This window comes from Homo sapiens, chromosome 1 (genome assembly GCF_000001405.40).
Source record: "Homo sapiens chromosome 1, GRCh38.p14 Primary Assembly".
In the NCBI taxonomy this organism is placed as follows: Eukaryota; Metazoa; Chordata; class Mammalia; order Primates; family Hominidae; genus Homo; species Homo sapiens.
The window spans coordinates 205298985-205321948 of NC_000001.11; the positions used below are offsets into that span (position 1 = coordinate 205298985).

General features: G+C 51.5%; 1 protein-coding gene across 3 annotated transcripts, besides 8 other annotated features; it reads right to left on the reverse strand.

Moving 5' to 3' along the window:
- Nucleotides 1629-2480: an enhancer, noted in NCBI's record as "OCT4-NANOG-H3K27ac-H3K4me1 hESC enhancer chr1:205269741-205270592 (GRCh37/hg19 assembly coordinates)". NCBI's record gives its function as "activates a minimal SCP1, AML or CMV promoter by ChIP-STARR-seq in naive and primed H9 embryonic stem cells {active_cell/tissue: H9 hESC(naive and primed)}" and the evidence as "EXISTENCE:reporter gene assay evidence [ECO:0000049][PMID:30033119]".
- Nucleotides 1629-3333: a biological region, named in NCBI's record as "OCT4-NANOG-H3K27ac-H3K4me1 hESC enhancers GRCh37_chr1:205269741-205270592 and GRCh37_chr1:205270593-205271445".
- Nucleotides 2397-2691: an enhancer, noted in NCBI's record as "tiled region #6944; HepG2 Activating DNase unmatched - State 1:Tss". NCBI's record gives its function as "activates a minimal TATA promoter and a strong SV40 promoter by Sharpr-MPRA in HepG2 cells {active_cell/tissue: HepG2}" and the evidence as "EXISTENCE:reporter gene assay evidence [ECO:0000049][PMID:27701403]".
- Nucleotides 2481-3333: an enhancer, noted in NCBI's record as "OCT4-NANOG-H3K27ac-H3K4me1 hESC enhancer chr1:205270593-205271445 (GRCh37/hg19 assembly coordinates)". NCBI's record gives its function as "activates a minimal SCP1, AML or CMV promoter by ChIP-STARR-seq in naive H9 embryonic stem cells {active_cell/tissue: H9 hESC(naive)}" and the evidence as "EXISTENCE:reporter gene assay evidence [ECO:0000049][PMID:30033119]".
- Nucleotides 3079-22761, reverse strand: NUAK2 (NUAK family kinase 2). 3 transcript variants are annotated; one of them, NM_030952.3, is made up of 7 exons: nucleotides 22414-22761; nucleotides 12721-12841; nucleotides 9597-9748; nucleotides 9181-9246; nucleotides 7204-7323; nucleotides 6215-6347; nucleotides 3079-5529 (listed from the first exon to the last, which is right to left on the reverse strand). In NM_030952.3, exons 1-7 carry the CDS (start codon nucleotides 22642-22644, stop codon nucleotides 4466-4468), a joined length of 1887 nt encoding a protein of 628 aa, NP_112214.3. In that variant the 5' UTR covers nucleotides 22645-22761; the 3' UTR covers nucleotides 3079-4465. The 3 variants fall into 3 exon arrangements, with proteins under 3 accessions (NP_112214.3, XP_047287265.1, XP_005245572.1); XM_047431309.1 differs by lacking the exon at nucleotides 22414-22761 and having other exon boundaries at nucleotides 9181-9241; nucleotides 12721-12810; XM_005245515.5 differs by lacking the exons at nucleotides 7204-7323; nucleotides 9181-9246; nucleotides 9597-9748; nucleotides 12721-12841; nucleotides 22414-22761 and adding an exon at nucleotides 6447-6555.
- Nucleotides 3334-4185: an enhancer, noted in NCBI's record as "H3K27ac-H3K4me1 hESC enhancer chr1:205271446-205272297 (GRCh37/hg19 assembly coordinates)". NCBI's record gives its function as "activates a minimal SCP1, AML or CMV promoter by ChIP-STARR-seq in naive and primed H9 embryonic stem cells {active_cell/tissue: H9 hESC(naive and primed)}" and the evidence as "EXISTENCE:reporter gene assay evidence [ECO:0000049][PMID:30033119]".
- Nucleotides 5039-5889: an enhancer, noted in NCBI's record as "H3K27ac-H3K4me1 hESC enhancer chr1:205273151-205274001 (GRCh37/hg19 assembly coordinates)". NCBI's record gives its function as "activates a minimal SCP1, AML or CMV promoter by ChIP-STARR-seq in naive H9 embryonic stem cells {active_cell/tissue: H9 hESC(naive)}" and the evidence as "EXISTENCE:reporter gene assay evidence [ECO:0000049][PMID:30033119]".
- Nucleotides 14680-14769: an enhancer, noted in NCBI's record as "active region_2379". NCBI's record gives its function as "activates an Ori minimal core promoter by ATAC-STARR-seq in GM12878 lymphoblastoid cells {active_cell/tissue: GM12878}" and the evidence as "EXISTENCE:reporter gene assay evidence [ECO:0000049][PMID:35858748]".
- Nucleotides 22268-22447: a silencer, noted in NCBI's record as "silent region_1736". NCBI's record gives its function as "represses an Ori minimal core promoter by ATAC-STARR-seq in GM12878 lymphoblastoid cells {active_cell/tissue: GM12878}" and the evidence as "EXISTENCE:reporter gene assay evidence [ECO:0000049][PMID:35858748]".
- Nucleotides 22762-22964: the final 203 nt, after the last annotated feature.

Consider the following 22964-nt stretch of genomic DNA (forward strand, 5'->3'; position numbering starts at 1 on the left):
CTCCTTTCCTGAAAGTCCACCTCCCCCAGCCCCTGCTGAGATAGCACTGATGGAAAGGGCTGTGTCCTCTCCCTCCCTCCCCATTCCACACCCTGCGCGTCCCTTAGGTACAGGCTTTCCCTCCACTGTGTCCTCCTCTCCTCCATCCCCTCCAATTCTAGTCCTGTCCCTCACCCTTCAGCTTCTCGCCGGGCGCAGTGGCTCATGCCTGTAATCCCAGCACTTTGGGAGGCAGAGGCAGGCGGATCATGAGGTCAGGATATCGAGATCATCCTGGCTAACATGGTGAAACCCCGTCTCTACTAAAAATACAAAAAATTAGCCGGGCGTGGTGGTGGGCGCCTGTAGTCCCAGCTACTTGGGAGGCTGAGGCAGGAGAATTGCGTGAGCCCGGGAGGCGGAGCTTGCAGTGAGCCGAGATCACACCACTGCACTCCAGCCTGGGTGACAGAGCGAGACTCTGTCTCAAAAAAACAAACAAACAAAAAAACACTCTTCTGCTTCTCCCACTCACTCTCTCTCTCTCTCTCTTTTTTTTTTTTTTTTTTTTTTTGAGACTGAGTCTTGCTGTCACCCAGGCTGGAGTGCAGTGGCGCAGTCTAGGCTCACTGCAACCTCTGCCTCCCGGGTTCAAGCAATTCTCCTGCCTCAGGCTCCCAAGCAGCTGGGACTACAAACATGCTCCACCATGCCTGGCTAATTTTTTTTGTATTTTTAGTAGAGACGAGGTTTCACCATGTTGGCCAGGCTGGTCTCGAACTCCTGACCTCAGGTGATCCATCCACCTTGGCCTCCCAAAGTGCTGGGATTACAGGCATGAGCCACCACGCCTGGCCTCACTCTCTTCTTTCTTAGCTTTCTCTTGGGGCTTGTGGAGACTAGGAAAGGGCACTTGGGAAATTGGCATATTCCTTGTGCCTGCAAAAGAACCTGGCATATAATGGATGCTCATATAATAAATATTTATAAATAAACCTGGCATATAAATTTATAGTTCCTTCACTTACATTCTTTTATCCAATTCTCCAAACACCATGCCATTCAAGTGAGTCTGTGGGATGCCAAACCTGGGTTTGAGGTCTGATTTCTCCATTTGCTATCAAGTTCCTTTTTTTTGAGACAGAGTCTTGTTCTGTTGCCCAGGCTGGAGTGCAGTGGCACAATCTCAGCTCACTGCAACTATCGCCTCCCAGGTTCAAGGGATTTTCCTGCCTCAGCCTCCCGAGTAGCTGGGCCTAGAGGAGTGCGCCACCATGACCGGCTAATTTTTTGTATTTTTAGTAAAGTCAGGATTTCACCATGTTGGCCAGGCTGGTCTCGAGCTCCTGACAAGTGATGCTTCTGCCTCGACCTCCCAAAGTGCTGGGATTACAGATGTGAGCCACTGCGCCTGGCCTACTTAATGTTTTTGAGTCTCCATTTCTTTTATAAAATGAGAATGATAGAAATAGTACTGAACTAACAAGACTATCGTGAGCATTACATGAGGTAACACACCTAAAGGGCTTGACCCATAAGCACTTAGTGAATGGTAGCCCCTATTATTATCTCCGAAGATGCAATTCTTTCCATCATCCAAACTCCCTTTTTCTTCTTTTTTTTTTTTTTTGAGACCAGGCTGGAGTGCAGTGGTGCGATCTCTGCTCACTGCAAGCTCCGCCTCCTGGGTTCACGCCATTCTCCTGCCTCAGCCTCCTGAGTAGCTGGGACTACAGGCGCCCGCCCCCGCGCCCGGCTAATTTTTTATATTTTTAGTAAAGACGGGGTTTCACCGTGTTAGCCGTGATGGTCTCGATCTCCTGACCTTGTGATCCGCCCACCTCTGCCTCCCAAAGTTCTGGGATTACAGGCATGAGCCACCGCGCCGTCCCCAAACTCCCTTTCAACATGATCTGAACCAATAACAATTTCTCACTGAATTGCATGCTACCTTACCCACAGCCTGTAACCTCCTTGAGGCTAAGATCTCTGTTTTTTTTTTTTTTTTTTTTGCACCAGGGATACAGCAATTACCTCTGTCTTCTACTAAGCTTAGCACACAAAAGGGCTTGATTCATGAGAGGAATGAATAAAGGAGCACTGCTACCCCCACAGCTGAACTCTAAGCTTCTGGAGATAAACCCACCCCCTGGATTTTTTCCATGTTTACCCAGAGTCTAGCCCAGAGTTCCAGCACTGAGTAGGACCTCAGAGACTTAAGACCTAAGTACTCCAGTGTCGCCTAAGCAATGTCTTGTTTGCTCTCCCATCTTGACCTCATAGTTGCCTTGCCCTCCCCATCTCCTTTGCAGACTAGTGACTTTGCCAGCTCAGCTCTCCAGGTGTGGGAGGGGAGGTCCAACGCGCTCCACTGGGCAGGCACCGACAGCCGGCAGGACAGGTGTGTTGTGGGGCCAGAGCCAGAGCTGGGGACGTTTGGAGGCCTCCTGTGACTACCAGAGTGGGTCGGGGTGGGGGAGGGAGGCTGCCTGAAGCCAGAGCCAGCCGGCTGCTGGCCGGCACTTTGTCCTCATCCTCCCTTTCATCCCCAGCCCTCGGAGCCTGGGAGTTTCTCAATGGAGCAGGCGTGTGGGGAATGCTCTGCAGGGGGCTGAGGGAGTTGGCGTACGGTGGGGGTGGACATTCCAGGCATTCTTTGCTTTCTCTGGGAGTCAGGCAGTGAGGACGGAGGGGGGAAAAGCTGCCCAGCACCAGAGTAAAGGGGATTTCTTAGGAGGGAGAGAATAAAGGCTGTGGGGGTGTCTTTACGCAGCAGGAGCAGGGCTCAAGCAGACAGGAGCAGGGGTGGGAGGAGAAGGAGGCAGGTGGTGGGGGCAGGGTGGGATAATCTGCCAAATCCACTTCTACTTTAGTGCCAAAGGCCGGAAGAGCAACTGGGACCCTGGGCCCAGGGCCTTCCCACCTGTGTGCTTAATAGGGTCAGGCCAGAGCTACTGAGCTCACGTTTGTTTTGATTCGGCAGTTTTTCTATTTCCCATCCCTGGCAGCCTAGGGGAACGAGTATTAGGAGAAGGCTCAAAAACCTGCTCAGCACCATCCCTCCCCACCTCAGTCACCAAAGAGAACAGCAGGGCCTGCTTCCAATCACCTTTCTGGTTTTAATGGTACTTTTTGGCCACGGAGGTCCATTAGGTAGAGACCATTAGGTAAAGAGACTCAAGAGTGTGGAGTGGAGTGTGGGGGGTTGTGGGAGGAGGTGGAAATAGTTGCAAAAATATCTCTCTGTACACAAAACTTAGATGTCATAGTGGATTTTCCCAGAACATAGCATTCACATTATTGAAAACAGCAAGATTCACTTTTCCTAAAACACAAAGCCAAGAACATAAAAATAAATATGGACATTCTAGAGTCCTGAAGGCCTAGAGAACACATCCATAGTCTGGACTTTAGAGCAGCTTAGAGGCAGAAGTTCTGAGTCACTGAGGTCCAAGGTGGAGTCCAGAGGAGGCTGGGCCCCTTGAGATGAAGTCCACACAGCAGGCGGAGGCTTTTCAAGTCTTTCAGATTCACAGCAGCAACTTCAGGAGGCTCAGGCCAGGTTTGGAGGATGGAAAAGGGAAGAGAACCATTGAAGAAACAGAGATTGTGTTCTCTTACTCCTAGGCTAAATAAGGAAGGGTTAGGTGGGGCGCGGTGGCTCACGCCTGTAATCCCAGCACTTTGGGAGGCCGAGGTGGGTGGATCACCTGAGGTCGGGAGTTTGAGACCAGCCTGACCAACATGGAGAAACCCTGTCTCTACTAAAAATACAAAATTAGCCGGGCATGGTGGCGGGCGCCTGTAATCCCAGCTACTAGGGAGGCTGAGGCAGGAGAATCGCTTGAACCCGGGAGGCGGAGGTTGAGGTGAGCTGAGATCGCGCCATTGCACTCTAGCCTGGGCACCAAGAGCGAAACTCCGTCTCAAAAAAATAAATAAATAAATAAAAATAAAAATAAAAATAACGAAGCGTTACTCCAGACCATTCCCAGGATGCCTCATGCACATTAGGGGTGCCACCATCCAGTTCTGGTGGTTGGTAGGAACGGGAATGTGTGTGTAAAGAGGTCTGGCCCCACTTGGGCAGGGAATGAGTAGGGAAGGAGCTGTCCTTAGAAGGCACCATGTGTACAGAGTATTCATGGGATGCAGGAGATGGGCCCTGGGAGAGTTCTCTTTCCAGGTCTCTGTGGCCCCCCCATGTACACAAGAAACAGGCAATGTGGACTCTGTCGCGGGCATTCCCGTTCCCCTCTCTTTAGTATCCTCTTCGTTCAGCAGGGCTGAAGACAGACACTGAACCCTTGGCGCATTTCATTTGCCTACTTCCCATATCCAGCCCTGCTCAGGGCTCCACTGCAAACCCTCTCAGCCTTCTGAGCTGGGATGCAGGTCCTGGGAGGTGGGGGAGAAGGCATCTCCCCTCGGGGTGCAACCAGCTGCATCTGAGAGCCTGACCGGGCTGGGGCAATGCCTACTCCACTCAGGTGAGCTTTGAGCAGACCCTCAGTGCCTGTCGGTAGGTCGCTGTCACCTCCTGGCAGTCTGTCAGGGAAAAGCAGCTGTCCCCCAAAGGATCCTGCCGCCAGCGCCTCAGGCAGCTTCCAGGGCCCTCTGAGGGGGGCTCCTCAAGCCCCGTGAGGTTGTCCACAGACACACAGCCCCGCAGTGGGGGCTCTGGGAGCCGTTCAGGCAAGTCCAGCTGGTCAAAGGACTCAGAGGACAGGATGCTGTCCTCGCTCACAGCCCCTGAGGGTCGGCTGGCCCGGGCCAGGGGGCGAGGTGGGGCGAGTTCATCCAGGGAGCCGAAGGTGGTGGGGGCCGCGAGCTCCAAGGCTGTCTGGGAGAACTTGCCATTGAGTTTGAGGATGCCTTTGCGATGGAGGAGCAGCCCTGAAGCTTGCGGAGGCTTCTGCTCCTTGGGATCCCCACTCACAAACACGTCGCCTGCGTCCAAGAGCTCCCCAGATTCACTGGGCTCGGGAGAGGAGTAGTAGCCAGACTCGCGCTGTCGGGGCTTCTTGAGAATGCCCTTCTTGGGGAGCAGGGGGGCAGCCTGCCCTGGGCTCGCAGGGATTGGGCTGAGCTCCGGAGGGTCCTCCTGTACCCCTTCTGCAGAGGCTGACACCTTCTTCTTGAGAATGCCCTTTGGCAGCTTGAGGTTGCTCTTGCCAGGGCGATGGGCAGTGTCATCAGCCGTGTCACTGTGGAGAGACTGGGCCATGTCATTCTCCTTGCGGGACTTCTTGAGCGAATGCTGGCGCTCCAGGCCAGGGGTGGTGCTTCCCCCACCAGGTGCATGCTGCTTGAAGAAGCTGCACACCTTGGCCCCATTCTCCAGGAGGGGGCGGGAGGAACGCCGGAGCCAGTCAGCCATGGAGGCGCGGGCAGAGTCACTGCCAGGGTGCCCACCCTCATGCGGAGCCTCCTGCTCTCCCACTCGGGTGGCGTAGCCCCAGTTGACCCACCAGTGACTGGCCACATCCTCCAGGGTGGCCCGGCGGGTGGGGTTCACCATCAACAGCCACCGGATCAGGCCACAGGCATCTGGAAGACAAAAGGCAGGTGCTTCAGTTTGGCAGCTCCCAGAATAGGCACTCCCTGTCCCCTGTCCCCAGCTCATCCCCTTTTGAGCTATGACACTGCATACTCCTGGGTCGGATGCGTCCCTTCCAACCTAGGGCTCTATACATGCCTTGGCCCAGGACAGCTCCCCAGTCCAGAGTTCCTGGACTGACTCCTCCAGCTGCCTCTCTGTCCTCTGACCCCTCAGGACTGTGACCCCTTCATAAGCCCTTGTGTGTATGTTGGTGTCTATCCTCTCTCTCTCCATTGAAATTCAACCCTCTGAGGGTAGAGACTGTGTTCAGGGTAAACTGGGTCTCTCACACCCTTCTTCCTGCCTTCTGAGTCATAGTGAAGGACAAAAAGATTTCTGAAGATGAGAACAAAAGCAATAGGAAATGAGACAACTGTAGCAAAGAAGATCTAAGTGAGACCTTAGGAACCACTTCCCAAATATAATCAAACATGCCCCTGTGGGAAAGAAAGAGCTATCCCCTCCTTCCCCAGAGGTCTCAACATTGGACATACGGTGGAGGGTACCCTAACCTACCATGGGCCATGATGGACTGTTGCCCGTTTGACTTTAGTGCCACTGTGTAGTTTCTGCCTTAGGAATGAGTGAAGGACACCCCAGGCCTGGATAAGAACGCCCACACCTCTTACTCACCAGAGGGTTTAGGTGGCTCCCGGTAGGCCCCGTTGCTGATCTGTTTCACTAGGATCTTATGGTCATGCCCATCAAAGGGCATGGTGCCATGCACCAGGATGTAGAGGAGAACACCCAGGGACCAGCTGTCCACCTGAGAGAGATGGGGGAGGTCAGCAGGGATGCCCATACCAGACAGGAAAATGTTACATGCTGGAGAACTCAGAGGCCAGCACACCTGAGGACGACCCACCTCTCCTACCCAGGGGCCAAGACGGGGATGCTGCAGAAGGGGTCTGAGATGTTGTCAATCGCATTTCCTGCGAGGGACAGCCACAAGCACAAGAGCTACAGCCAGGTCATCTCTTCCGGGCTGGGGAAGGGGTGGTTGTGACAGATATCATCTCTACATCACTCTCAGGAGGCTGGACTGGGTGCTGGGAAAGGTAACAGGAATGAGGAATGTGAGGGAGGCAAAGAACTAACCTAGGAGTCAGGAGACCTAAGTTCTAGTTCTAGGGGTTTTTTTGGTTTTTGTTTGTTTGTTTGTTTGAGATGGAGTCTTGCTCTGTTGCCCAGACTGGAGTGCAGTGGCATGATCCTGGCTCACTGCAACCTCTGCCTCCCAGGTTCAAGTGATTCTCCTGCCTCAGCCTCCCAAGTAACTGGGATTACAGGTGGGTGCCACAAAGCCCCATTAATTTTATATTTTTTTAAGTAAAGATGGGGTTTCACCACATTGGCCAGGCTAGTCTCGAACTCCTGACCTCAAGTGATCCACCCACCTCGGCCTCCCAAAGTGCTGGGATTATAGGTGTGAGCCACTGTGCCCGGCCTAGTTCTAGTTTTGCCATTCCTGGCTAGACACCTGGCAAGTTACTACTTTTTGGGAGGCTTGAGAGTTGTGCTCTGAAAATGTGAATAACGAGAAAACTAGCCCATCAATCTCCCAGGATCTAAAGTCATAGTAAACATCTGAGGCAGGCTGGCAGGGGAGGGTGGCCACTTACCTCTGGGCCTGTGTAGGGCTTCCCATTGACAATCTCTGGCGAGGCATAGAGGGGGCTCCCACAGAATGTCTGCAGGAACTTGCCTTGATGGTAGAGGTTGGAGAGACCGAAGTCAGCAATCTGCAGGATTGAGTCAAACACGGGCACAGGTCATGTCAAGGCCTGGGTTTTTCTGCAGCTCTTGGCCCGCCCTTCTCCAGACCCTGGGGAAACCCAAGCTCCAATAGAAGGAAAGGGTCCCCATGACCCTTACCCCACACTGAGCACTGTCAGCATAGCTCAGGCCCTGGAAGAACGAACCCTGAGGAGCTGTGTCAATAAGGAGCATCTAGACAGAGCTTTGCGGGGGCTCCAGGATCCTCACTGCTCCCCAGACCACTTTGCTCACATGGCATTCCACTACAGAGATGCTGTCTCATGCCCATATCCCTTGGAAAGTCTCCCATCTCCTTCTAGAAGCCTAGAGTTTCCAATGCCTCCCTGGAGCCCCTGCTCATTAGATCTGCCTTCCAGACAGACTGTACACTCCCATGCTGACCTCCTTGCCCCCACCTCTCCTGCAGCTGCTAGCCCAGGTGAGACCCTGCATGAGGCTCTAATGATGTTTAGTGATGGAAAGGAGGGTCAGCCAGATGGAGGGGGAAAGCCAGCACCTCATGATAATGGCATGGCCCTCAGGAACAAGCAAGCCCTATAACCAATGAACCACGTAAGACTTGAGCTGCCCTTCCTAGCAAAGGGCTCATTCCTGTGTGCACACCGGGGCAAGAACTTGGTGGCAGGAACCTGGGGTCAGCCCAATATAGCTAAGAAGCAATAATGAGGGCAGAACAAACATCAGGGCTGTGGTTACAGCCCAAGACTCCCTGAACCATCTGATATTGAGGGCTTGAGAACCCAACCCCATCGTCTCGTTGCCCGGAGAGACCCTTTCCCACCTATCCTCAGTTAGAGGCTGAGGCCATGCCCTGGTGCTCCCCACCTCTTCACCACATCAGAGGGTTATGTGTATTCAGGGTGGGGAGGGGCTGTTTATGAAACTCTGGCTCCTTTGTTTATGGTTTTATTGGCCTCTTATCAAGCAGTTACCAGTTGAAGCCCATAATGAAGCACATGATTGGTGCAGATAGGAAAGTTCATGCCTGTCCATGTTTGTGCCTGATTATGCGGGTTTACTGGCTCTGGCTTCCCTCCCTTCTGCTCAGCATCAAAGAAAGCCCCACCTGCTCCGGGAATTGGCTGGTAAGAGGGAATGAACTCAGTACCAGGGCACCTCAGGGTACAGGTCAAAAGCCACTGGAAGAGACTATGTCCTGGGTTCAGGAAGATTCTGAAGAGGGTCAGAGTGCAGCGTCACCTTCCCAGATGCCTGCAGGGGCCAGCCTCCCTGTGCCATGTCCTTCCTCCAGCCCTGAGATCTCAGTTTATCCCATCAACATGAACTTCTCCATGCCTAAATTTAACTACTTAAGCATGGAAATCTAGCAGCTGCAGAAAGCAGGAAGCTGGAGCTGGAGTCCTTCATCTGTGGGAAGTTTCCAAAGGGCTATCTAATTGTACCAGATTAAAGCATGCATGTGTGTGTGTATGCAAGTGTGTACATACATGAGAAGAACTCAGGCCGGGCCTGTCCCAAGGTTGTAGCAAACCTGACCTTAGATCTAGACTCCTGTCAGCCTTATGACATCAAAGGAGCACTCATCTGGGAATCAGAAGATCTTGGTTCTAGTCCAGGCTCAGCCACGTGCTAGTTGTGTGATCTTGTGCAAAGCACCCCTCAGCTGAGGCTCCAGCTCTCCATCCACACAATGAGGTGTTGGAATGGATGATGGCTGAGGTCCCTACCAGTACCAATGAAGGTCAGCCTTGCTCAGCTCCTTCAGGAATCCACCAAGAGCTTAGAGCTACTTGGCTGGGGACAGTGCAGAAAAGCTGGGGTGGGCAAGGAGGCTTCTAGAAATAAGAAGTGGGACTCACCTTGATATTCCCATTGGCATCCAAGAGGATGTTCTCCAGCTTGAGATCTCGGTGGACAACTCTGTTCTGAAAGAAGGAGAGGGCAGTCACGGGAAGGTCACCAGGGAAGGGAAGATGATGAGGGGCCCAGTCTGGAGACTGAGGTAAACACAAAGGGAGCCAAGTGGGCTTGAGCACAGGTAGGCTGGGAATGCCTATCTTTATCGGTATGTGCTGCAAGAAATCACGGGCCCTTCTATCCGCGGAGAAGGGACTCAAAGTCAGAGACACTGACATTTCCCTGAGAGTCCAGAATCTAGTTTTGCCTCTGTTTCTGTGTGATCCTGGACAAGTCATGGAACCTCTCTGGTCCAAAACAGCCCTAGAGCCCTGGGGACCACCCACTGAGAATATGGCTGGAGCAGGTAGGTGCTCACCTGATGGCAATAGTGCACGGCAGAGACGATCTGCCGGAAGAAATGCCTAGCTTCGCGCTCACTGAGCTGCTGCCGCTCGCTGATGTAGTCATAAAGGTCGCCCCGGCTGGCATACTCCATGACGATCACGATCTTGCTGCTGTTCTCAAACACTGGGCAGAGCAAGGCAAGGAACGTCAGGCCCTCCCAGAGTGCACTGCTCTCCACTGGGGGTGACTCACTCCTCCCCGACCCCAGGCCCCAAACCAGACAGGACCCCCCTCCAGGAATATCTGCTAATGGGGCTATACGGTGGCAAATAAGGGCAGAAGAAGGGCCTTGGAAGTTCTCAGCATCTTCCAGGAGCCATGAGTTAAGGCCAAAGACACTGGCTCATCCTCTGCCTCCGTGGAAGTTCAGGCTTTTGGGAATTCTGAAAATGACCCTGCCCTTTCAGGAAGGCAGAGACGTCACTAGATGGGAATGAAAGGCCAGGCTCCTTGGTTCAAGAACCTGGTACTTTTTCACCTTGTGGCCTTGGGCAAATCTCTTCTAGATACATGAGTAAGAATGCAGGTTTGCTGGGTGATCTTGGACAAGTCATTAAACCACTGTGCCTCAGTTTCCTCATTTGAAAAGCAGGATAATAAGGCAACCTCACAGGGCTGGGGTGAGAAATATAAAAAGTCAACAGCAGTTCCAGGGCTGGCTGAGCAAGCTGGTATAGGTCTGACATATAAACAAGCACTCGATAAATGGTACCTACAGTTATTTCTTTATTTATTGAGACAGAGTCTCGCTCTGTCACCTAGGCTGGAGTGCAGTGGCGTGGTCTCGGCTCACTGCAACCTCCACCTCCCAGGCTCAAGCGATTCTCCTGCCTCACCCTCTCGAGTAGCAGGGATTAAAGGTGCGCGCCACCATGCCAGGCTAATTTTTGTATTTTTTAGTAGAGACGGGGTTTCACCATGTTGGCCAGGCTGGTCTTGAACTCCTGACCATGTGATCAGCCCGCCTCGGCCTCCCAAAGTGCTGGGATTACAGGCGTGAGCCACCGCGCCTGGCCACAGTTATGTTTATAATCAGTGCCCTCATGCATACATTTGAAAAATAAGGCCAATAATAATGTCTGTCTTGAGGATCAGAAGAGGGAATAAAAGTATATTAAAGTGGATCATGAACTATAAAGCACCAGGGAGAGCTGAGATATCCATCACCATCTCTGACTTCCATCCAGAGGATCCAGGGCAGGGCCTCATGCATAAGGCCTTGTACACAGAAGCAATCAATACATATTTGGTAATTAATTGACTGGCTGGGTTCCTGGCAGCCACCTCATCCCAGCTGGCTCATCTCTCTGGGTAGGAGTGGCCCTCTTGCCACTTGAAGACTAGGTAGGGAGTGGCTGGTTCACCAAACTGGCCCTTCTGCCTGGTGTGTATTAGAACATGTATGTCCCTGACATTGCATCTTTGTGTCAAACGGGTCCTATGAGTTTGGCTTGCTTGGCCTGCCCCAGAGCTAATGCTGTCTAGGCTCTGAGAAGGAGTGAAGTGAAGAGCCTTCTCCCTAGAGGAGTCCCAGCTTCCAGGGAATTGGATACATGGCCAGGAGGACTGTCCTTTTGTCCAGGGGGACAGGAATAAATGGCCCTTATCTGTGGAGGCCCAGCCTCCTGGGGATGCCTGGCTGAGACTCCACCCCTATGGCTCTCATCATCTCTGCAAGGGTGCATGCAGCCTTTGTGCCATAAAATCGGGAGTCAAAAGCCAGCCAGGGCACATTTTGGAGAACAGCTAGGTTAGATGTCATTTCCCAGGACTGAGGCACACCCGCTACCTCACATCCCTTGAAGCCAGTAGCAGGAAGGGGATGAATTTGGGGGAGCCCCTCCAGACACACAGTAACTATGATGTTCTTATGTCTGTTGAATCTGAAGGTGCCAGAGAAGCCATACCCTGAGCTGCAGTGCTCAGTTCCCAGATCCAGTTGGAGATATGAGTGTAAGGCACAATTCACACACACATGCACACGCACACACATGCAGACACACACACACCAATCACCACACTCAGCCTAGCTGGAGATATGGGTGTAAGGCAGAATTCATATACACACACACACATATATATACACACACACACCCCAATCACCACACTCAGCCTGGCTTAACCAATACTTTGTTGTCTCCCCACTCTTCCCTGAGGGAAGCACACACAGAGATAAAATTAGCCTTCTCAGCCACTTGCCTGGCTCTTCATGGGACAGGCTTAAGCCACAGGGCTATGTCTTAAGGCTCTACCCTTAAGGCTCTACCCTTAATCTTTCTATGAACACGACCCAAGAGCAGAGACTGCTCTATTTTTTTCCCCACCAGGAATATACAGACAAAGGGCAGAGTTACAGTCTCCCTTTCTTCCCTCCTGTTGCTATCCCTCGCTTCTCATCTAACTGATATTATGTAAAGTCTCGACGCAGACAGGTGTGTGTAAGAGAGGGCTCCCCATCTTTCCTTCGTCACCCTCTCTTGCTCACTTTGTTGTCTGGGTCATGGGGAGGAGGGCAGCTGGAGTGGTGAAATCAGCACTGATGTCAGAGAAGAGGAGGCCAAGAAAGACAAGGAGAGGTAGGAGCCAGCCCTGTGGCAGGAATGATTCAGAGCCCAGGTCAGACTCTAGGAGGTCTGGCTCTTGGGACGCATGAAGAATAGCACCCACGCACCTGAGACAGGTGCAGGTCTATGTATGTTTCAGCCTCCCCCAGATTGCTAAGGAGCTCACTGGGTTGGGAAGGTAGTGTTCAAGTAGGGAAAACCGAATTATAACAACAAAAAAACCTGCAATTCCTTGAGTACCTCCCATGAGTGGAGCATTCAATGACATAAACAGTTTGATCTTTGCAACCACACTGTGATGTAGATGGGATTACCCCATTTTATAAATGAGGAACTGAGGCCCAGAGACTAAATTCAATGAGTTGTGCAAAGTCATACAGCTGAGTTTCAAATCCAGCTCCTGCTCTTCTCTAGAGCCTATATTTTTTTTACTTCTTTATGTTGTTTCTTCTGACACATGTACATACGCATGTGAACACACACATGCACACACATAGACCCCCAAGTTCCAGCTTTAAGTGCCCACTGTACCTTCATGGATGGCAATGATGTGAGGGTGGTTGAGTGATGACATGATCTCAATCTCCCTCCGTATGTGCATCAGATCTTGCTCATCTTTGATTTTGTCCTTCCGGATTGACTTGATGGCCACCTGGGAAGAGAAGGCATGAGAGTGAGGAGAAAGGTTTGGCAGAGGACACTCTGGGGGCCCTGGTCCTGGTGGTTTGCCTGTAGCTGCTATAAAGGCCACAGAGTACACCCATAGAAGCCACTCCATCCTTCACCAGTGTAGGTGGCAGAGAGGCTGGAGAGCACTTTCTCTAGAAAAAGATCTCACCTGAGCTGAGTGCACATGGTCCATGCAGCAGGAAGGAATATCGACAAGTCACCTCCTTATTCATAGTCTACAGATAGACAAGGAAGGTAAAAACCTGCATTTGCAAGGCTGATGCGTTATGAATTATAAAGCAAACGTGCCAATCTGCACCATGAGGACAAGGACCAGCCAGTTTTGCTCACCACTGAATTCTTGATGCTGAGCACAGTAGGCACAGAATAACTCCTTGTTGCATTAGTAAATGAACTGACCCTCACAACAACCTTGGGAGGTGGGCACAAAAAGCATCATCAATACCCTTTACAGGTGAAGAAACTGGGACCCAGAGAGGTTAGATGATGTGCTCAGTCATACGGTCACTAACTGGTGCAAGTGGATTCGACTACTGGCCATCTGATTCTGAGTTTGGTACTTTTTCTGCTCCAGTTCTGTAACTTGCTATAAGCAATCAGTCCCTAGCCACAAAGTGGAAACAACCCAAATGTCCATCAAGAAAAGTAGGGATAGGTCTGGGTGCGGTAGCTCAAGCCTGTAATCCAAGCACTTTGGGAAGCCAAGTCAGGAGGATCACCTTGAGGCCAGGAGTTCGCAACCAGCCTGAGCAACATGGTGAAACCCTGTCTGTACAAAAAATTCAAAATCTAGCCAGGTGTGGTGGCACATGCCTGTAGTCCCAGCTATAGGCGCGTGCTGAGGTGGGAGGATTGCTTGAGCCCAGTAGGCAGAAGTTGCAGTGAGCCATGATTGCACCACTGGACTCCAGCCTGGGCAACAGAGTGAGACCCTGTCTATAAAAAAATAAAGAAAAGAAATGTAGGAATAAATTACATGTGGTACGTCCATAGGATGGAATAGAATATTATTCAACCATAAAAAGGAATGAAATTCTGACACATGCTATAACATGGATGATCCTTGAAAACATTATGCTAAGTGAAATAAGCCAGTCACGCAAGGATCAATATTGTATGATCCCACTTAAATGAGGTACCTGGAATAGGCAAATTCATAGGGACAGAAAGTATTAACAGAACGGTGGTTACCAGGGACTGGGGGAGGGGAAATGGGGAGGTGTTGTTTAATGTGCATAGTGTTTCGGTTTTGTAAGATGAAAAGAATTCTGGAGATTGGTTTACAACAACGTTAAATTTAACGCTACTGGTACACTTAAAATGGTAACTTTTATATTATGTATGTTTTACCATGTTTTTAAAAATTGGTCCCAAAATTATGAAGAAAAAAAAAAAAAGCCCCCAAACACCAGTCTATTCAGTCCAGATGAGAAACCTTCCTCCCCTGACAACAAACAACTCAACAGTTGCTTGCTATCTCAGGGCTTGCTATCTTAGCCCGGCAAGATGAAAAACACCACATGAGGACGAAGCCCTCCAGGCAGTATGTGTGGTGGGCTCAGGAAAGGTGGAGAGAGGCAGGAAGAAATGGAAAGAGGGCTGCCGAGGTGCAGCTAGCAAAGCTCTGAGCCACCGAGGGTCTCGGTCCCTCTCTGCTCCACCCTCCTCAGCAGCAGCTCCTGGACAAAATCCCAGAAAATACCAGGGAGCAGGGCCTGAGGCGCGGAGCTGGGGAGAGACACTGCCTAGGGAGTCTGTCACTGTCCCCCTGGGCCAGTCCCCACCCCTTCTCAGAGCCTCGGGTTTTTTTTTTTTCTGTGAAACAAACAGGTTGAACTAAGAGATCTGAGGGGCTTTCCTGCTCTGAGTCTATGAAATTAGCCGTACAGATGCCACGGGGCCCTCAGAGGCTGCAGGGCTAGGTGGGAGCTGGGTGGGGGTGGGGTGTCACAGGGCCGGCCAGTTCCTGGCAAGTGCTGCCCAAGGACGCAAATGGTAAATACGAGACTTCCTCTTATGGGGGTAGGCAAGTTGTGAGAAATCTGAAGACCTAGACTGTGGTAAACAGCTCCTCGTTCAATTTCCCAGGAGGGTTTGCGTCCCCTCAAGATTCAAAGGGAGAGAGAAAAAAGGAAACCCCTGCTCGAGGGGAGGAGCCTCTAATCCACCCTTTCACAGGGCTCTGGAGGCAGACAATGGTTTCTGGCTTGCAGGGGCAGCAGGCCCTGCCGGCCTGTGTTCTCCATCGGACAAGAATGCGGAACAGCCCTAATCCCGTAAGAGGAGCTGCTCACAATGCCCTGGCCCGGTCACCCCGGCAACGGGCCAGGGATGGCGTGCCCTCCATCCCACTCCTCCCCCAGAGCTTCATCTTTGAAAGAGGGGAGGCCCTGCTCTCGGGCCCTCCCTGAGCAGGGCAGGGAGGACAATGGCAGGCGGGAGGGATGGTCACCATGGAGCCTCCTCCCCAAGATGCTGAAGAGGCCCATGCTGCAGCTGCAGGGGATGCGATGGGGCTATCCCCCTTCTGCTCCAAACCATCCATCTCTCCCTAGTGAGCTAAGCAAAAAACAAAAACAAAAATAAAAACCTGGGCTTGGAACTGGGCAGGGGGCCAGGGGTAGATGTAGAGAGGGCCTGAATCCTCCTTTAACTAGGAGGTACCTCTCTCTCCTGGATTCAACTTGGAGTATCATTCCCACACACCTCTCGCCTCCATACCCTTTTTCCTCTCCCTGAGGGGGAGATTTTATGGACAAGTTATTTTCTCTCTAAAATTCTTTGTTTAAAATAAAACAATGGATAAAGTTCTATGAGCTCTTCAGAGATAAAGGTCCATAAAGAGCAAAACGATCAATCATATATAAACATGAATCCCATATCTAGATAATCAAAACTATTTCAGAACTTAAGATGTACGCATAGGCACATCTTGGATGTACAGTTGTGTACTCGCAGATACAATAGTGAAATAAATCATCATAGGCTTAGGGGGCAGAACTCTAAAGATGACAAGGCCTAAAATAAATGAGGTTCCAAAAAAGGGAGAAAGGGGTGTTAGAGGGGCTGGAAGGAGTCTCTGCATGGGGGCGAGTGCACAAGTTGAACCCCAAGATCCATCTCTTTCAACTCCAGAAGCCCATGATTCTACATCAGAATTGTTAATCCTCATTGAACAGTTCCAGCCTCCTGCAAGTTTGTGCTCTGGCATCAGGGGGTAGGTTAGGGACCCACCAGGTATCCATATTAGGTCCCAGGAGATCACAGTACGGCTGGCACTTTCCAGGAAGCAAACAAGTTATGTCATCAGGCCTCTATCGGTCTCCAAGCAGGTGGCAGACAAAAAGAGCCATGCATCACCACCCTGGTGGGGCTAGACCACTGCTCCCCAGCCTATCCTGGACCCACAGGAGAGGGCTCTAGCTATCTGCTGGCTAGCCTGTCAAAGTAAATTAGAGCAACAGCTCAGGCCTAGACAGAGCTCAGCATACAGAAAGTGTTCAACAATTGTTTACTGGTGAACATAAATCGCAAATATTTACTAGTTAAGTCACTGGGCTGATGACCTTTGACTGAGATGGGAGCAGTGCTCAGATAAGATTTTCTCCTCTTCTTCCTAGACATGGGTGAAGTCCACCTCGGTTATAAGGACTAATTTTTAGGGACCTTTGTTCTCATCTGCAAGATAGCCAGGCAACTATTCTCTAGAATAAAAATATGTTGATTAGGCTGGGCGCAGTGGCTCATGCCTATAATCTCAGCACTTTGGGAGACCGAGGCGGGCAAATCACTCGAGGCCAGAAGTTCAAGACCAACCTGGCCAACGTGGTGAAACCCCATCTCTACTAAAAATACAAAAATTAGCTGGGCCTGGTGATGCATTCCTGTAATCTCAGCTACTCTGTGGCTGAGGCACGAGAATTGCTTGAACCCGGGAGGGCAGAAGTTGCAGTGAGCTGAGATTGCACCACTGCACTCCAGCCTGGGTGACAGAGCGAGCCTCTGTCTTAAAAAAAAAATAAAAAATAAAAATAAAATGACTAAAACCAAGGAAGAGGGTAACAATTGCTGAACCAATCACCCAGAGGCAGGAAGGCCACATGCCTGAGACAGTCCTGGTCTAATTACTAATATTGCCCCTTTTACTCTCCAAAGTATCCAAGTTTAGATAATACAATATATGGCCACCCTACTCAGAAGGGGAAAGAAAACCAGATTCAATGATAATAACATAAACCTGAACATCTGATTAGTGGAGATGGCATCAAGAGCCCAGGAATCGAATCCTTATTTGCCCCTATAGAGCTATGCAACTCAACATAAGTCACTTGACCAGATAAGTCTGGTTAACTCATCTGGCTGGTTTTCATGTCCTCATCTGAAAAACGAAAGGATATTTATTCTCCAGTCATCTGCTGAGTGCCTACCATGTGCCTGGCTGGCACTGTGCTAGGTGTTAGGGATTCAGATAAAAAGTGGACAGTCCCACAGTCCAGTGGGAGGACTGACAATTAATTAAACTCCATTCTATTGTGATAAATGTGGCAGTTGATGTCCCTGCCTGCAGAGAGGCTCCAAGAGCACTGGAGAGAACTTCCTTTGCCCATAGGAGGAGCAGGGAAACCACCTCTGGGAGAAAAACTGCTTTCGATTTTGAAGGATGAGTGAGGTTTGCTAAGCCAAGGGAGGTGGGCTAGGGAGGGGCAACAAGGGCATTCCAGACAGAAAGAAAGGTTTGAACAAAGGCCAAAAAGAAAGAGCCATTCACGAATTTGCACATCAGGATCTCTACGCACCCTTCCAAACTCTAGAATTCTATGCTGAACTTCTTCAGAAATGGGCCACCTGCTACTATGCCAGGAAGGTGCTAGCCAAGTATTATTATAAGCAGCCCCATACTATGGCCACGGTAGCCTGCTTGAGCATAATTTCTGATTCTGTCCCAGTGGTTTTCTTGCCCCTGCAGTCCTAAACATTGGAAAAGGCAGCAGGGTTAATTCCTCATTCTATTTTGCAAACAGCACACACTGAAGTCCAGAAAGGCACACTGACTTTTCCAAGGTTCCACAACACATCAAGACACAATCAGGACTGAAGATGGAAGGATGGTGCCTGGAGAAGCTTCCATCTCAGCCATAGAGATTTCCCTGCCTGCCTCCCATCCCTGGAGAAGGGAATGCCCCATATCTTGCCCTAGGCCAGGCTGTGTAGTATCACCAGCCACCCCATCCCACTTACAGATATACAAATATGCCCACTCCTCTGCCAACACCCTGGAGAGGTAGGTGCTGTGGCTCAATTGGTAAACACTGCCTCCCTCCCAGGGACTCAGATCAGGAACGATCTGGATTCAGGAGAGGATGGTAGAAAGGTCTTAGAAAAAGAAGATCCAGAGATGCTGGTTCCAGGTGGAGGGAGAGAAGGTGCAAGCTGGGCATCTCTGGTCATAGTTATCACCCAGAGCTGGAGCCAAGATCCTTGATTTCTCTCTGGCCTTTTGTGGAGCAGCTGCTGTCTGGGAGGCAGGGCAAGGAGCTAGGGGATGACCCATTTAGATAACGGAGGAGAGGTTGGGCTGGGTTGGCCCAGGCTGGGCAGAGTGGGGGTGGGCCTAGGGGTGGCTCGCCATCCCACCACACCAGCCAGAGAGCTAGGCAGGGATCAGGAATGGGCTCCAAGGGGAGCCTGAGCCACCTCCCTATACTGTGCTGCCCCCTCCTTGCCATCCTCCAGCCCCCTCTACCGGGTTGCTGGGCAAGGAGCTTCCCTGCCCAGCCTTCTTGTGTGGTTTGGCTGGGGCTCAAGGACAAGAGTGGCCTGCAGCCTCCCTCCCTGCCGCTTAGCAGGCAGGTGCAGAGGGAGCTGGGAGGGCAGTGTCCTGCCAAGCAAGCCCTTGGCAGCCAGCCAGGCAGGAGTCCTTCTCTGGAGCTGGGGCCGAAGGAGAGACGAGGACTTTGAACAAAGCAGCAACCAAAGTGGTTTGGCTTAGGGAAGCCAAGCACAATCCATACTCTTTCTCAGGGTAGGACAGACCTCCAGGACGCAGGGATTCCCCAGGAAAGGGAAGGGCAGGACTTCATCAAAGCCAGCCTTGCTGGGATAATAACACTGTGTGTGTCAGACACTGTGCTAAGCACTTTACATATGCTATCTTACTTAATCCTAAGAGAATCCCACGAGGTAGGAATAATTATCACCCCTACTTTACAGATAAGGAAACTGAGGTACAGAGAGGTTGCACAGCTGGTAAGCAATGGAGCCACGATTTGAATGCTTGCAACCTTGACTGTCAGCTAGGCAGCATCCCCAACAAGGTTTGAAACCCAGGAATATAGTGTAGTTCACCCACCCAGAATCCTTCAACACAGTCACTGTATGTGAGGGTGGGGGTTGGTTCCCAGTGACTCTTCCCACCTGAAGCACTGCCTGTAGTGCTGGGAAAGACAGCGGGAGCTAACTGTTGGAATAACAAAGCACACTGAGGCAAGCCTGGGCTCATCTCAAGACCAACTCCCAGTCTAGGACTCAGTACTTGGTCATCCAGGAGCCCATATTGCAGGCATGCCACTCACCAGCTACAGGATAAGTCACTTCCCCTCTTCGGGCCTCAGCTACTCTATCTGTCAATGAAGGACTCGGACCACCTCAGTCATTTCCAAACATTTTGAAATCCTGCACTGCACTCCAAAACATAAAAAAGACAGAAGCACTCTTGCTCCAGAGCACCATACACTTGGACTCACGGCCCTAATGGTTCCCCTTGGAGGTAAGACTTCCATGCAGATCATCCAAAGGCTTTGGTGGACTCCACCATTTCAGAGACCCCAGCATGTGTTTTTCTCTTTAGGGGAAGGGGTGGCCAGGGGAGCTGGGTGAGTCCCAGGAGGAAATGTCATTTGGATACCAGGAATGTATTGAAGAGCCAGAGCAAATATTTGTTTTTCCTTTGATGTCCTCCTAGAGCAGCCATTAGTTCCGCCCACCTGCCCTTCCCTCAGCCAATCCCATCTGGCCCTGATAATCCCATCTAGGCAGGTTGGGAGCGGGAAGTGTGCTAGAAAGGTGGAGAGAAAATTGGGATGGAAGTCACCCAGCTGGCTTTCCTCTGAATCTAGCTCCCACCAACAATCTCAATTCATTCTAGGGGAGGTCTTGGGCAAGCTCCCACACCCCTCTCCCGCACTGAAGTATCCTGAGGCACTAGGTCTCTCTCGATTCACGAAGGACAGTCAAGAGGCAGGGGTGGGGTGGGGTGGGGAAGAGGCAATGCTCCAGAATTGAGAAACCATTAGCACAGCAGGCAGCTGCTCTCCAAGAAGGAAGGAGACCCTGAGCAAGTTCCCAGCTGCAGAACTGGGTGGTCTATGGATCAGGGAGGTTCACAGCAGGTCCCATGCCTACTGATCTTGGCTTCCTACATAGAGCAAGAGGCATGAGGCCAGGGAGTATCTTCTGATGTAATAAGAGCTGGAATCCCTGCCTAAATCCACTTAAGTTTGAAAACTGAAAGCTAGTTTATCTCATTCTGGAATCAAATGAGATCTCTCTCTTACTCTCTCTCTCTCATGCACATCCACACACACACCCCACAGTGACCTGGGTCAAGAGCCTGATGGGAACTCTGAACTTCAATCTCAGTTTCTCAGTCTCTGGGCCACCCCAGTCCCCACGACCCAGTGTCTCCACCCCCAAGAGGCACGAAGCACAAGCCACCAGCAGCTATTTTCCAGCTAAGCCCCTGACAAAGCCTGGGTCCAACAGCCTCAAGCCTGGAGCCTCACCGGGCCCTCACACTTTGCAGAAAGAGAAAGAAAAGGCAAGCCAGGAAGTACATGATTGCCCAATAGCTGTAACCTGGCAGCAGGCAACTGGGGACTGTGCCAGGCGATAGCAGGAAAAACATACTCGGTCCTATTGATGGGGCCATAATCTACCCCTTTCTCCAACATCCACTCTCCTTCACCAATGAAATGACTTCTTGAATTTCAAACCAGCTACTGGCTGCAAAAGCAAACACAATCTGGGGAAGTAACTGCTGATGTAGCCAATAGGGCAAACCATACACACACACACACACACACACACACACCCCCTCACAACCAGCACCCAACTGGATTTGGCAAAACATAATAATGCCTAAACCACCTGCTCTAAAAGGCTTGTTAAAATATACATTATATGGCCCTATCCTAGACCTTCAGAATAAATTACTCTGGGTGTGGAACCAGAGAATGTAAGTATTTTAAACAAACATCCCAGGTGATCCTTACGTACTTTAAACTCAAGTTTGAGAACCAGTTAACCACTGCTAACTAACTTTTGACAAATTTGCCATCCTTTCTGGGCTGCCCTTTCCAGAAATTCTCACTGCAAGTTCTTTTTTTGTTTGTTTCGTTTTGTTTTGTTTTGTTTTGTTTTTGAGACGGAGTCTCGCTCTGTTGCCCAGGCTGGAGTGCAGTGGCACGATCTCGGCTCACTGCAAGCTCCGCCTCCTGGGTTCAGGCCATTCTCCTGCCTCAGCCTCCCGAGTAGCTGGGACTACAGGCGTCCGCCACCACGCCCGGCTAATTTTTTGTATTTTTAGTAGAGACGGGGTTTCACTGTGTTAGCCAGGATGGTCTCGATCTCCTGACCTCACGATCCGCCCGCCTCGGCCTCCCACAGTGCTGGGATTACAGGCGTGAGCCACCGCGCCCGGCTATCTCACCGCAAGTTCTATGTGTTAGGAGCAATATAAGTTCATATTTCGATCTTATTCAATCCTCACAGCAGCTTGTGAGGCAGGCTGTGTTTTCTACAGTTCTGCAAAAGGGGAAACAAAGTACAGAGATGAAGGAAATTGCCCAAGGTCACACAGACTGCTAGACTCCTACGCTCGCACCAAAGTAACAGGGCATGTTCTTGAAAAGGCCCCCAAACCGAAAGGTGTCTCTGGTACAGTGGACCTGGTTTCACATTTTCCAGAATCAAAAACTCATCATAATGAAATTTCAACTAAATTTTAGAGCTGGAAAGGACCTAAATGTCAAAACCCACCCCGTGCCAGAGCTCCAGTGTGCTGGGTTGCCAGATTCTTGGAGTTGGGGAAATCCACACCTCATCCATTCATTCAACCACACACATATTTACCAAATACCTATTAAGATGGGGTGCCTTCTACTTCCTCTTTCCATTGCACTCTATTGAACAGTCTTTTCCCAGCAAAACTCAACTTAAGTCCCATCCATCTTATCCCAGGACACGACACGATTCGTTTTTCCGCGCCAACTATCCATAGCCTCCCTTTTATTTGGCAATCATCACAGCAGTACGGTGTTGCTGGCTGGGGTTCGCAAGTTTGCGACCACTGTCCCTGCAATCACGGACTGACACATCTGCCAGGGACACCCCGCAGTAGCCCCGCAAGCTCAGCGCGGTAAAGACCACGCTGGCCTCTCCGCCGAGCAACGAGCGAGCCGCCGCCCGCCCTCCTCCGCTCCCTGCCGGCGGCCAAGCCGGAGCCCGCCCCGCGCCGCGAGAGGGAGCCGCACTCACCAGGCGCCCCGAGCTCTCCCGCGCCTTCTTCACCTTCCCGTAGGTGCCTTTGCCCAGGGTCTCCAGGAACTCGTAGCGGTGCCGCAGGTTGTGCTTGTGGTGGTGCCGCTTCACCGCCTGCTTCTTCATTAGGGGCTTGGGCGACTTGATCAGCCCTTCCGCCAGCGGCCGGGCTAGCTCTGCGGCCGAGGGAGTGGGGCCGGAGCGCCGCGCGAAAACCAGCGACTCCATGGCGAGCAGGAGGTGAGCAAGGGCGGCAGGGGAATCAGTAGGCTGTGCGGGGAGGGCTGAAGCGCGGGGCACAGGTCCCGCACCAGGACGGGGAGCCACAGCAGTACCAGAGCGCGCAGTAAAGCACAGCATTCCAAGTTGTTATAAACGCCCTGAGCCCGAGGCCCTGGACACGCCCCCCGGCGCCCATTGGCCTGCTCGACGGCGGCGCGTGACCACGGCCGTCCACATTGGCTCTCCGGGGCTCCAGGCCCCGCCTCCTCCCCCTCGGCGTGGCCGGGAAAGGTGTCAATGGAACCCGCCCACCAGGAATGGGGACT

Coding starts and splice junctions, on each gene's coding strand:
- NUAK2 (NM_030952.3), bottom strand. CDS start 22,644: ATGGAGTCGCTGGTTTTCGCGCGGCGCTCCGGCCCCACTCCCTCGGCC. Junction 9,749..12,720: donor CATCATTGCCATCCATGAAG/GTACAGTGGGCA, acceptor TGCTCTGCCCAG/TGTTTGAGAACAGCAGCAAG. Junction 5,530..6,214: donor GGAGCCACCTAAACCCTCTG/GTGAGTAAGAGG, acceptor TTTGTCTTCCAG/ATGCCTGTGGCCTGATCCGG.